The 13,183-nt window shown below is 41.5% G+C and overlaps 1 annotated feature.

Moving 5' to 3' along the window:
* Window positions 2,608-3,109: an enhancer, noted in NCBI's record as "H3K27ac hESC enhancer chr3:137533769-137534270 (GRCh37/hg19 assembly coordinates)". NCBI's record gives its function as "activates a minimal SCP1, AML or CMV promoter by ChIP-STARR-seq in primed H9 embryonic stem cells {active_cell/tissue: H9 hESC(primed)}" and the evidence as "EXISTENCE:reporter gene assay evidence [ECO:0000049][PMID:30033119]".

The raw sequence follows: 13,183 nt of genomic DNA on the forward strand, positions 1-13,183 counted from the left end.
GCACCAAGTACACTCTGGACCTGCTGCACAGTCGCTGTCCTGGAAAGTCCGTCCACTGCTGTGCTGGGTTGACTGCCATCCTCCTGCATGCAGTTACTACTCTCGTCTTGTTTCACCTCTAGTTTTACTCAAGCACATCTAAGAGGAGAAGGTATCTGTAACTTTGCATGTAATAAAATGTTGTTATTTTTCTCCTCACGTTTGATTGGTAGTCTGATGAATGTAGAATTCTAGGTTGAAAATAATTTGCCTTCACATTTTTTGAGACACTGTACCACTGTATTCTTTTTTTTTTTCTGAGTCAGGGTCTCGTTCTGTCACCCAGGCTTGAGTGCAGTGGCACAATCTCTGCCTCCTGGGGTTCAAGCGATTCTCATGACTTAACCCTTAGCCTCCTGAGTACCTGGGATTACAGGTGCAGGCTACCGCTCCTGGCTAATTTTTGTATTTTTAGTAGAGATAGGGTTTTGCCATGTTGGCCAGGCTGGTCTTGAACTCCTCAGCTCAAGTTATCTACCTACCTCGGCCTCCCAAATTGCACCATTATATTCTAATATCTAATAGTACTGATGCTGAGGAGTTTGTTGCCATTTTGATTCTTGTTTTTTCTACATGTTCTTTTTCTTTCTGCTCTGGAAGCTTTTAGGATTGTCTTTTATCCCTGAGTTTCTGAAAATTCATGATAAAATTATTAATGTGAGCCCTCTTAAAATTAATTATTTTGGAAACTTAGTGCTGAAACTAGCTGAAGGTCACTAGGTAAGGCTTGCTGACTGGTGAGCCCTGCTTTAGACTGAGCAAGCAGGGCTGCTGGGGCACCCCTAGGTGTCAACACACAGGACCATCCAGAGAAAAACCTCTGAGCCACATGATGGAGTGGACACCTGATCACTGACATTCTCTAGATGAGGTGGTGGGTGATGGAAGACCAGGGTTGACTGATGTGAGTTCATCTTTAGTGTTAATCCCCTGTCTTCAGCCCTATGCCTCCTCACTTCTTAAATGGCACCTCCCAGTTACTCCCCAGGATCCTAAGGGCAAATTGGCTCTCTGTTCAATCCACACTTCAGGCAATGGCTTCCCTCTCTGCTTTTCTATTTACCTTCCAGCATCTAAAATTAAGTTTCCTGTCACTGATGTCTTCTCTATCAATCCCTGTGACCTTGTTGGTTTATATATTATATTTCTTTAACAGAGTCTTAGGAAGGAGAGTACATAATCCTCCACGTCTAACGCTTTACCTTTAATAAAAAGACAGACTGAGTTAAGTCATATTTTTAAAATACAGTCATTATATGATTCCTTTTATAGGAAATATCCAGAATAGGCAAATCATAGAGACAGACAATAGATTAGTGGTTAGCAGGGGCAGCGGGGAGGATGGAATGAGTAGTGACTGCTCAATGGCTATGGGGCTTCCTTTCAGGGTGACAGAAACATTCTGGATTAAATAGAGGTGACAGTGTGAATGTACTTAACGCCACTAAATTATACATTTTTAAATTGTTAAAATGGAAGTTTTATATTACATGTATTTTACCACAATAAAAAAAATACATAGTAAAAAATATACAGTGACCATGGAGAGCTTACAAAAGATTTTCACAAACAGTATATTCAGGTTATGCTGCCATTAGAGTCCTGTTGTTCTGTAATTGGTGGTAATATCCTTTACCATGGAAATTTAAAAATACCAGCCTTCCCCATTTAGATTTTTAAAAATCAACTCATATTTGGATACTCCCAGTTGTTGTTGTTGAAACAGTGGTCTTACTCTGTCACCCAGGCTGGAGTGCAATGGCTCAATCACAGCTCACTGCATCCTTGACCTCCTGGACTCAAGCAATCCTCCTGCCTCAGCCTCCGAAGAAGCTGGGACCACAGTCATACACCACCCTGTCCAGCTTATTTATTTATTTATTTAGTAGAGATGGTGTCTCCCCATGTTTCCCAGGCTGGTCTTGAACTTCTGGGCTCAGTCGATCCTCCTATCTTAGCCTCCCAAACTGTTGCGATTACAGGCATGAGCCACCACACAAGTCCTATTCCCAATTTTGACTTTTCCTCCACAATTATTTAATTTCTGACACCTGATGTCTCTTAGCTATCCTAAAACCAAATAAAAGATGTTCTCTTATTTACTGTAAGAATAGATATATAGAATTATTTCAAGTGTAAAATATCAGTATCTCTTGTCATTCCACAAAGAGCCCAAGCCACCCCTAAATTTTCTCTCTTTCATTTGCTTAGAAAGTATAATACTCAGCTGTTAATCAAATGAACAAATAAAATAGCAGCTTTTTATGAAGAGTTATTGTAAAACTACGAACTATTTCATTAACTAAATCAGAAAATGCAAATAGCAACTTAGCTATTGAGCAGCCTTGGGTGTTTGGAAGAAACAGGCCCACACATCTGGGAAGTGATAATTCACTGAACAAAGGTGGCCAGATTTCCCTGACCTCATCAACCCCAGGGATCCTGGGATGAGAACCCTCCAGCTCTGACCAGAGGCCAGTCCCCCTTCCTGGTGCCCCTCTGACCAGCCTGACCTGTGCTGTCTTTAGGTCATCCTCACACTGGCTTAAAACCAGCTAACATTGATTGAGCAGTTAGTACATATTAAGAGCTTTAAATGGACCATCTTTTTGAAACCTCACAACAAATTATTGTTCCTCTTTTACAGATGAGAAAGCTGAGGCCTGGGGAAGTTAACTAATCTGCCCAAACCTTTATAGGTAGTAAATGGCAGGGCCTGAAGGTAAACCCAGGCAACCTGCCTCCAAAGCCTAGCCTTGTAACTATTAGGTAATATCTTCCCTTTTGCAAATTAGAACCTACAATTTCAGACCCCATGGTCACTGTACAGCTTACATATGTTTTTTAAAATCATAAAGCCTCTGGAGGAGCAATTGTCATGGGACCCCAATTTTCCTCATAATGTCACATTTATGTGTGGTGCCAACAAAATAGAGTTGTCAGGAGGAGGAGGGAGCCCAGGTGCAGCTCTCTCTGAAGTACTCTGGCATGTTCATGGGATGGCCTTCCCTGGCCCTAAGAGGATGGAGCTTCTGCAGGCTATGGCTGTCTGTCCAGGCCTGCACAGGCCGCCTATCTGGCTCGGTCGCCTCACACTCCTGTGATGGGAACTGAGGGGCCGGTGACAGGCTCGCTACTTCAGGGCATGTGGAAAGGGCTAGGTCGGCCAAGTTGCTCAAACTTTTCACAAGGTCAGGAGAGAGTGCCAGCCACTCCTTATACCTGCTTCTCGGGCGCCTTTTTCCCTGCCCTTAACCACAGTTGTACCCAGGGCACTGACTGCTCATACCTCCCTGGGTGGGCTCATCCATCCACAGGGATTCAACTACCAACTGTATGCAGAGGACCCTAAATTTCCCACTCCAGCCCAGATCGCTCCTGACCTGTCCCCCCAGTTACAGATCCCCACGTCTACCAGCCCAATGAATACAGCAACCTAGGTGCCCTCCAAAGTCATCATCTGCCTCACAAACTCTTCCTGTTGTGTCCCTAACCTCTGTGACAGGCACTCCCACTCCCACCCCACTCAAATCTGATGAAAAATCTGGAACTCATCACAGCCCACTCACTCTCGAGTCTTTTCAGCTCCATCCGCCGCCTGCTGCCCATCGTACGTGTCTGTTCTCCTAGATGCACAGCCACCCACTGGCCTCCTGCCTCTGGCACCCCTGCTGCCCTCTATCAGGTCTCCTGGCTGACTCACTAGGTCTCCTGAGCTTCTCCAAAATGGGGAAGGCAGGATAATCTGTTTAGGTAATGGCAGAAAATGTTAGAATCTTTATAGATTATCTCAATAGATAAATTCAATATGAATTATTGATAATCTATATTTAACTTGAATCTGAAAATATAAGAAAAAAATAGCCTTTTAATATATAGGTTGACACTGTCACCCTTGCTGGTCCACTTGTCATGTAGGGATCTCACGGTTCCCCAATGAGTGCCCCACGGGGTCGACAGTGGCATCCTCACTGGAAACTTCAGCTGTTATGTGTTCACATGTGCCCAGGTAAATAGAATTATGGACTAGATTCTAGTTACTACTGATGCAAGCACACGTGAGCAATGAGAAAATGAAAGGGTGGACCCTGTATACCTAGGACAAGCTCATCTGCAGCCATAATACCAGGTCATAAGGGTGGCAGGCTGACCAGATCTGACATGAAGCTGGCATTAAAAATAAAGTTGAAATGGCTGGACGCTGTGGCTCACGCCTGTAATCCTAGTACTTTGGGAGGCTGAGGCAGGCGGATCACCTGAGGTCAGGAGTTCGAGACCAGCCTGGCCAAAATGGTGAAACCCCGTCTCTACTAAAAATACAAAAATGAGCTAGGCATGGTGGCAGTCGCCTGTAGTCCCAACTACTCGGAAGGCTGAGGCAGGAGAATTGCTTGAACCCAAGTGGCAGAGGTTGCAGTGAGCCAGGATCGTGCCATTGCACTCCAGCTTGGGCGACAGAGTGAGACTCCGTCTCAAAAAAAAAAAAAAAGTAAAGTCGAAATTGTGAAAAAGACTATTTATAATATTAATTTTATACTCATTATTGTTTAAAATAGACCTCGCCTCAGGAGCATATTATAATTTTAGCTGGTACCTAACACTATCATATTAGAAAAAAATCTATAATTTCTTGAGTAGTGTTTAAGTCATAGGAAACATAATATAATACTTTATAAAATTTCAATTACTTTGGTAAGTATTTAAAGGCTTCTCTTGAGCTTTCTTAATATATAACTACAGACTTACCTATTATCATTCAGAAGTAAATGAACAATTTACTCATGAATTTGAGGATACAGGCTCAAATTGGTTTTCACTGATAGAAAGGTGAATTAAAGAGAGGTTTGGAGACCTCAGTTCAGCTAACTTATGTCCTACCTCCGTCACAGGAAATACAGCACACAGGCCAGGAGCTGTGGCTTGCACCTGTAATCCCAGCACTTCGGGAGGCCAAGGTGGGTGGATCACCTGAGGTCAGGAGTTCAAGACCAGTCTGGCCAACATGGCGAAACCCCATCTCTACTAAAAATACCAAATTAGCTGGGTGTGGTGACCCCAGCCGTGCGCCTGTAACCCCAGCTACTCAGGTGGCTGAGGCAGCAGAATCTCTTGAACCTGGGAAGTGGAGGTTGCAGTGAGCCGAGATTGCACCATTGCACTCCAGCCTGGGCAAAAAGAGTAAAACTCTGTTTAAAAAAAAAAAGAAATACAACACACACACACATCAGGCTCCTGTTGTCTAAACATGTCGCTCCCTAAACCTAAACATCAACCTCCTTGCTTCACCCAGGTGTGTACTTTTATGTCCAGCCCAGCTATGCTGTCAAACTCATTTTAATAAAGGAACTAGAAAAAATTTTGTCAAAGCCTGCCTAAGATAGCACAAAAAGAAAATACAGACTAATTATTCTATAGATGTGATAAGCACATCTTAAATAAAATATAAGCAAATCGAATATAATAATTCTTTACATGAACAACCCATGGAAAAGTTGAATTCATTCAGGAATGCAAGGAAGGTTAAAGATTAGAAAATAATATTTTCATATAATTCATTATATTAAAAGATCAAATGAAAAAGAATAATGTGATCACCCTGATAGATGTAAAGAAAACACTTGACAAAATTTAATACGAATTACAGTAAAAATTTGTAGCAAAATATAAATAGATAAAAATTTCTTTAACTTGATCAATGTGCAGACATGCTTGCTTGTATATATACAAATGTGCACATATATGTGTATACCAATATATGTGTGCACACATAAACACATACTTCAAAAGCTAGCATTATGTTTAATGTCAAAGTACTAGAAGACATACTATTGGAACAGACACAGTATCACTATTTTAAGTTCTATGATTTTCTACGTGAAAAAAACCAAGAGAATCAACTGAGAAATATTAGAAACAATATAATATAGTAAGATTAATGGCTGCAAAGTTATAAAAAGTAATTTTTCTGTATTCAATCAGTTACAAAATATATTGAAAATTATTGCATTTAATATTACAACCAAAATCATCCTTTTACTCCCATCTCTTCAAAAAGGAATAAACTTCGAAATAAGTGTGAAAGATCAAGATGAGGAAAATACTTTTACTTATTTCTGAAGAAAGGCAACAAAAAATTTAATGAATACAAAGGACTACTATTCACAATAGCAAAGACAGGGAATCAACCCAAATGCCCATCAATGATAGACTAAACAAAGAAAATGTGGTACATATACACCATGGAATACCAAGCAGCCATAAAAAGGAATGAGATTATGTCTTTTCCAGAGACATGGATGGAGCTGGCAGCCATTATCCTAAGCAAACTAACACAGGGACAGAAAACCAAACACTGCATGTTCTCACTTATAAGTGGGAGCTGAATGATGAGAACACATGGACACACAGCAGGGGGAACAACACACACTGAGGCATGGTCAGGGGTAGGGAAAGCATCAGGAAGAATAGCTAACAGATGCTGGGCTTAATATCAAGGTGATGGGTTGATTTGTGCAGCAAACCACGATGGCACAGGTTTACCTGTGTAACAAGCCTGCACATCCTCCACATGTATCCCAGAGCTTAAAATAAAAGTTGAAAGAAAAAGAAAAAAGAAAATAAATCTGTAAAAATAAATAAATAAATAAACTAATAATAAAAATAAAAAACGACATGACTGACTTTTAAAAAAAAAAAAAGGAGTATATTCCTATGGATGGGAAGATTAATGAATGAAGCTCATTCTTCCTAAGTGGACTACATTGAGTGTCATCCCAATCAAAATACCTGCAGCATTTTTTATTCAACAGAATCATATATGTTTAATGATAAAATTAATAAATAACAATAGCCAGAAAGTATCTGAAAAGGAAAATGACAGAGATTAAGCCAACCACATATTGAAATATATACTCAAACTACAGCAATTAAAACTCACATAGGATTTGACAGAAGAGTGAATGGAACAGAGCAGAGAATTGAAAAAAAAAATAGACCCAACAGACGTGGGAGTTTTGTACATGATAAAGCAGCATTTCAAATCAGTAAGAGAAAGATGGATTTTTCAGTAAACAGTGTTGGGACAACTGGCTAGCCATTTGGGAAAAAATAAAGCCTGATCTCTATTTCACTCCTTACATTAACTTGAATTCCAGATGGAGCAAAGATTTAAACATTAAAAAGATAAAACCATAAAAGCACTAAAAGGATTTTTTTTTTTTTTATGTAGAGGGAAGGCCTTTCTAAGCGTGGCACAAAACCCATAAACCATAATGGAAAAAGAGACTAACAAAGTTGCCTATGTACATTTTAAAGCCTCTAAATTTAGCGATAACTATTTAAATTTTAAAAGACCATTCATTTTGACCTAGCAATTACATTTCTCAAATTTATCCTCTAGCTATACTCATAAATTTGCACCAAAAAAAGAAAAGAAAGAGAATCCTATATGTAAGGATGTTCACTACAAGATTATTTACAATAGCAAAAAGAACTGCAACAACCTAAACATCCATCAATAAGGGACTAGTTAAGTAAATTATAGTACAAGCGTAGGATGAACTACATGGAGCCATTTAAAAAGGAACATGGGGCAAAGGGTGGGAGGGGGGCGAGAGATAAAAGGCTACAAATAGGGTGCAGTGTATACTGCTCGGCTGATGGGTGCACAAAAATCTCACAAATCACCACTAAAGAACTTACTCATGTAACCAAATACCACCTGTACCCCAATAACTTATAGAAAAATTTAAAAAATTTTTAAAGGCACAAAAAAGGGAACATTGTAAATCTTTTAAGTACACTAATGGAAAGCAATTCAAAATGCTATTAATTTAACAGACACACAATGCAAATCACAAATGGGGTCATTATATACACTCCTTGTAACATAAGCATTTGCAGTACCTTGTAATTTACAAAAACTTTATACCCATTATCGATCCATTATATCTCCTTTCTCCTAAGATTACAGCCTCTTTTTCTAGCAACTTTTCCCCTCAGCAGGTAGAATGTGTTCCAGGGCAGTGCTCTCAAGCATATTTGACCGCACAGCACAGAGGGAAGACAATAGTGTTTACACAGTCTATCGAGGGAATTAGATGAGGTTGCTCATGCCAGAAGTAACCTGCAGGTAAGGGAGCTCCAGTGTCCCCTCAGCGTCTCTTGCATTACCTAAACCACATTCCAGTGTGCTAGGTGTAGGAATCTTCCCTCAGGAATCCTGGAGGCTGGAGCCTTGGGTTGCAGAGATGGGCTTGGTCTGGGAGGGAGGTGAGCTTGTCCTGGTGCATTCAGGGTCAGTAGAGAAGACAAGGTGGCAGTCAAAGGAGAAGTTAAAGGGTGGAATCTGAGAGATTGTGCTAGGGTAAAGCAGGCTCTGAACTTCAGGGAAGACATGCCAGCTTCATCCCCTTCTAGGAATTGAAGGCAGGTTGATATGTATGGAGGCTTTTAGGTTGTGTCTGAAAATGAGCAACCTCTGCCAACATGGAGCACTGGAAACGTGGTACACATGGAGGTGGACAGACCCTGGTGGGAGTCCTGGCTCTGCCACTTGTGCGCTGTGAACTTGAACAAGATACTTCCCCTCTCTAGGCAAAGTAACTTCATCTATAAAATCTGTTTAGTAGCTGTCTATCTTGCAAGACTGGGGTGAAGGAAACAAATATGTACTGGTTTTCCTTCAAATATGGCATCCTCTTTTATTTTTATAACAATCCTGCCAAGAAAAATTTGCCTTCAAGGCAACCCTTACAAGTAAGTATAACAAATATCAGGTGCTATGAAACTTCCTCATCCCTCTAAATCTCTCTCTACAGGTCCACACGATCACTAATAACTAGTTTTTAATCCAAAGAAAGTCTCTTTCCATATCTCTTCCATCTTTCTCTTCCTCCTTATTCCTTTTCCTCTCCCTCCCATTCTCACCCCCTCTAATTATAGGGATAGAATATAATATACAAATGTCTAGAGGGAGAAGCAACACATTGAGCCTCATTCATCCTCAAATGCAAGCAGTCCTTACGCAAGAAGACAAATGATGATTTTCCATTGTTTTCTGTTTTCCATGGAGCATTCAAAAAATGTGCCCGACTGAACTTCACATTGAGTCAAAAATCCAGGAGGCAAGGCAATGGGAGCTAAAAATCTCAAGTCCTAGAACAAAGCTACATCTCAGGATCAAGAACACACAGATTCTATTTTCATTCATGTGGGTCTAGGCAACTCTCTGGGGCAGCTGTCCTACGTGTAGTGACCCAGCATCCAGACTGCTTCCATTCTGAGGCTTGGCCATCTCAACACAAGACCTCCTTCACACTCACTATGACAGGAGAAAAGAGCCTGAGAAAACACCCATGGCTCTTCCAGGCTTTTCACTGTCTCAGCCTAGAAATATAACTGAGGTCACCCCTAACATAACATTGGCTAGAACAACACACATGGTCTCATACAACTGTTGGGAAATGGCAGGGGGGAGGGTTGCAGAAATGCCTAGAACTGCTGAAAGGAAAGGGGAATCAGACAATGGTAGCACTCATGAAGGACTTGTTGACTTTCCAATTCCAATAGAGGCTGGCTCTGTTTAATCTCAGCTGAGCCCAGGAGTGTGGACAAGGCTAGGCTTTGGCCTGAGGGGTGCACATGGGGCACCCTCCTTCAGCAAACCATTACTGAGTGCCCACTCCACCCCAGGATCCATCCTAGGGATGTGAAGAAACACAGTCCTACCTTTGCTCACACTCTAGAAGCAACTTTTGAGTTCAAGCACAAGGTTTTGATTTATTATTTCAGCAGCAAAGCATGTTTCTAAACAGGCCCCCAGATTCCTGCCACTGCCGTTTTCTAGAGTAACCTGAGATGAAGTTTATCTGGATCCAGGACACTGGGCTGTGTCTACCATCACAAACACTGATGTGACTTCTGACAGCCAGGCTCAAAATCATAAGCCCATTCATTGCCTGAGCACAAGAAATGCTGCACTAGGCTCAGGTGGTGTATCAACAGCCAGGTGAGAACAAAATGTCATCAATAAGAAAAGCCAGTTAGAGGCCAGCTGTGGTGGCTCATGCTTGTAATCCCAGCACTTTGGGAGGCCGAGGTGGGCGGATCACCTGAGGTTAGGAGTTTCAGACCAGCCTGGCCGACATGGTGAAACCCCATCTCTACTAAAAATACAAAAAAATAGCCTGGCATGGTGACATGCACCTGTAATCCCAGCTACTTGGGAGGCTGAGGCAGGAAACTTGCTTGATCCCAGGAGGTGGAGGTTGCAGTGAACCAAGATCAAGCCACTGCACTCCAGCCTGGGCAACAGAGTGATACTCCATTTCAAAATAATAATAATAATAATAAAACACTACTTAGAGAAGTTATTTAGCATTCACACAGATCTCTGAACTGGTTGGAACTTTCATCTGTATTTGCCAGTGGTTCTGAGTGTGGTCTTAAGATTAACAGCATCAGCATCACATGGAACTGATTAGAAATGCACATTCTCAGGTGCCATTCCAGACCCACTTAATTTAGAAACTATGAGGTAGGGCCCAGAGATCTGTGTTTTCACAAGTTTTCTGGTGATTCTGATGTGTATTCAAGTAGCACGTGAAATACAGAAGCTACCCGGAACTAGACTTGAAGGCTGCTTTTCATGCCTGCCAAGAAGAGCCCACCTCTGTAGCCTTGGGAGGATGGGGATGGGGTGGGGAGGATGTTAGAGGGTACATGGTCCTTGAGGTTTCATCCCTTTTGCTTCATTTGAAGAGGTTTCAAACACAGTGTATCCTGTTTTTTAAAAATTCTAAATGGAGATTCAAATCATGTGGAGAGTTTTTTTAAGCACACCTGTGCTCAGGCCTAGTCTCAGAGATTCTGACTCAATAAACCTGGGTGCTATGGTTTGCATATTTGTCCCCTGCAAAACTCATGTTGAAACTTAATCCCCAATGTGGCAGTATTGAGAGGTGGGGCATTTACAAGATGGTTGGGTCATGAGGACTATGCCCCATGAATGGATTAACCTATTCATGGATTAATGGATAAGTGGGTTAATGAATTAATGGGTTGTCTTCAGAGTGGGATGGGTGGCTTTATAAGAAGAGGTAGAGAGACCTGAGGTAGCACACTCAGCCCCCTTACAGTTCTATGCTGCCTTGATACTTTATAGAGAGTCCCCAGCAGCAAGAAAGCCCTCACCAGATGCAACCCCTCAACCTTGGACTTCTTAGCCTCTGTAACTGCAAGAAACGAATTCCTTTCCTTTATAAATTACCCAGTTTCAGGTAGTCTGTTATAAGCAACAGAAACCAGACTAAGACTCCAGTCTGGGGCCCAGGCATGCACAATTATTTTAAAAGCTTCCCAGATGATTATCTTGTGCAGTCAGGTTAAGGATCACTGGTTTAAACTAGAGTAAAGGTTGGGAACTGGGGATGATAACTCTGCGGCCATGTCCCTTTCCTAAGTACTGGCTTTTATGCTTTTGAATAGATAAATATACTTGGGAACCATACATTTGGGCCAAAATGTGGAACTTATTAAACTCCCCCTAGAGGCTTTATACACACCTTCCAAAACATCCATGGTAGAGCCTCACACTGAACATTGTAGATAATCCTAATCCTTCCTGTCCTTGCTACCAGCTCCCCTACCCCCACTACAAAACTCAACATATATTACTGCTTTGCCTGGGGCTAGCATTCAGGCATTCTCCTATCTAGGTAGGACAAATGTCTTGAAGATGGGAGGAAACATCAAATTAATATTTATATCAAATCAAGCCCCCTCAATAAGAATCACTCTGGTGTGACAGGTTCCATCTCCAGCCCATGCCATCACCCAATTCAACATATTAATGCTGCACTGACCTTCCTAACCCTATCTATGCAATCGGACAGGTATCATGAATAATAAAAGAGACTTAGGACCAGCACAGAATAGCATCCCTTCACCTAGGACTAGGGTTTGGGCCCAATTCTGCTGTGTTCTGTCCCTTTCCAGCAAGTTTGGTGCATTTTAGGTTTTCTACTGAGTTGGAAGCAGAGGCCACCAGACTTTCCAGGGAAGCACTTACAGCATCATATTCAGATATTTTCTCATTCTTCACACACACACACACACACACACACACACACACACACACACACACACACAATATTCAGACCAAATCCCTCCAAGGCATTAAGAGCTCCACTGGATAATGAAGTATTGCCTAGTTCTTTCCCCATTATTAAACTACCCAAGTAATTATGACAAACTTCTCAGCAACTAGACTTCACTCCTTTCTCTGCTACCCCTCTTGAAGACAGAGATTCCTTGAAGAATACTTTCTCCACTATCCCCTTGAAGACAAGGATTCCTTAGAAAGTATGTCTTCAGAAAACCAGGTTTTCCCTTGTATCTCTTAGGGGAAATCAGAATCCCCATTCAGAACCTTCCTGTGTGCTGGAGTAAATTATCTAACCTTTCTGCATGTCAGTTTTCTTATCTGTAAAAAGGTATAATATTAGAACTTATTTCATGGGATAATCATGTGAATTAAGTGAGATGTTCATAAAGTTGGCTGAACACAGAGAAGCAGCTTGATGAATGAAAGTTATTATTCTTTTCAAATACTTACCGATATTCATCTTGGGTATTAGCCTAAAGGTTCAGAGATGTGAGGTTTTTGAAGTTACAAGTACAACTAGGAGGCAAACAACAGAACGCAAACAACCTATAAGGGTCTCTTTAGCCCTCAGGGCCCAACGCAGTTTCACATATATATTATTGCTTAACAAATAGTTGTTGAATAAAAGAAAGAAGGAATAAGGAATAAATAACATCAGCTCTCACTCAGAACAGAGTTCAGTCTTGCACAACATGGGGATATGTTTTAGAGGTCAACCAGTTTACCCAGCCTTTTATTTCAGACCGCATCTTGCCCAGGATGCCTGAGGGATATGGCTTCACTTCCTATTAAAGTACTATATTCTTATGCTTTCTTACAGTGCCCAATGCCTAAGCTCTCTTTGTTGCCCAGGAAATAGGCAGTGTTCTTGGTTCTTCTATCCCTGGCTGGTCACAAAATATGACCTCAGACCACAACTGTAGCTGGCCTCCTGATTCCCTCACCCCAAGAGGGACATTCACCCTCATTCCAGACCTC

The sequence above is a fragment of the Homo sapiens genome, chromosome 3 (genome assembly GCF_000001405.40).
Source record: "Homo sapiens chromosome 3, GRCh38.p14 Primary Assembly".
NCBI lineage: Eukaryota > Metazoa > Chordata > Mammalia > Primates > Hominidae > Homo > Homo sapiens.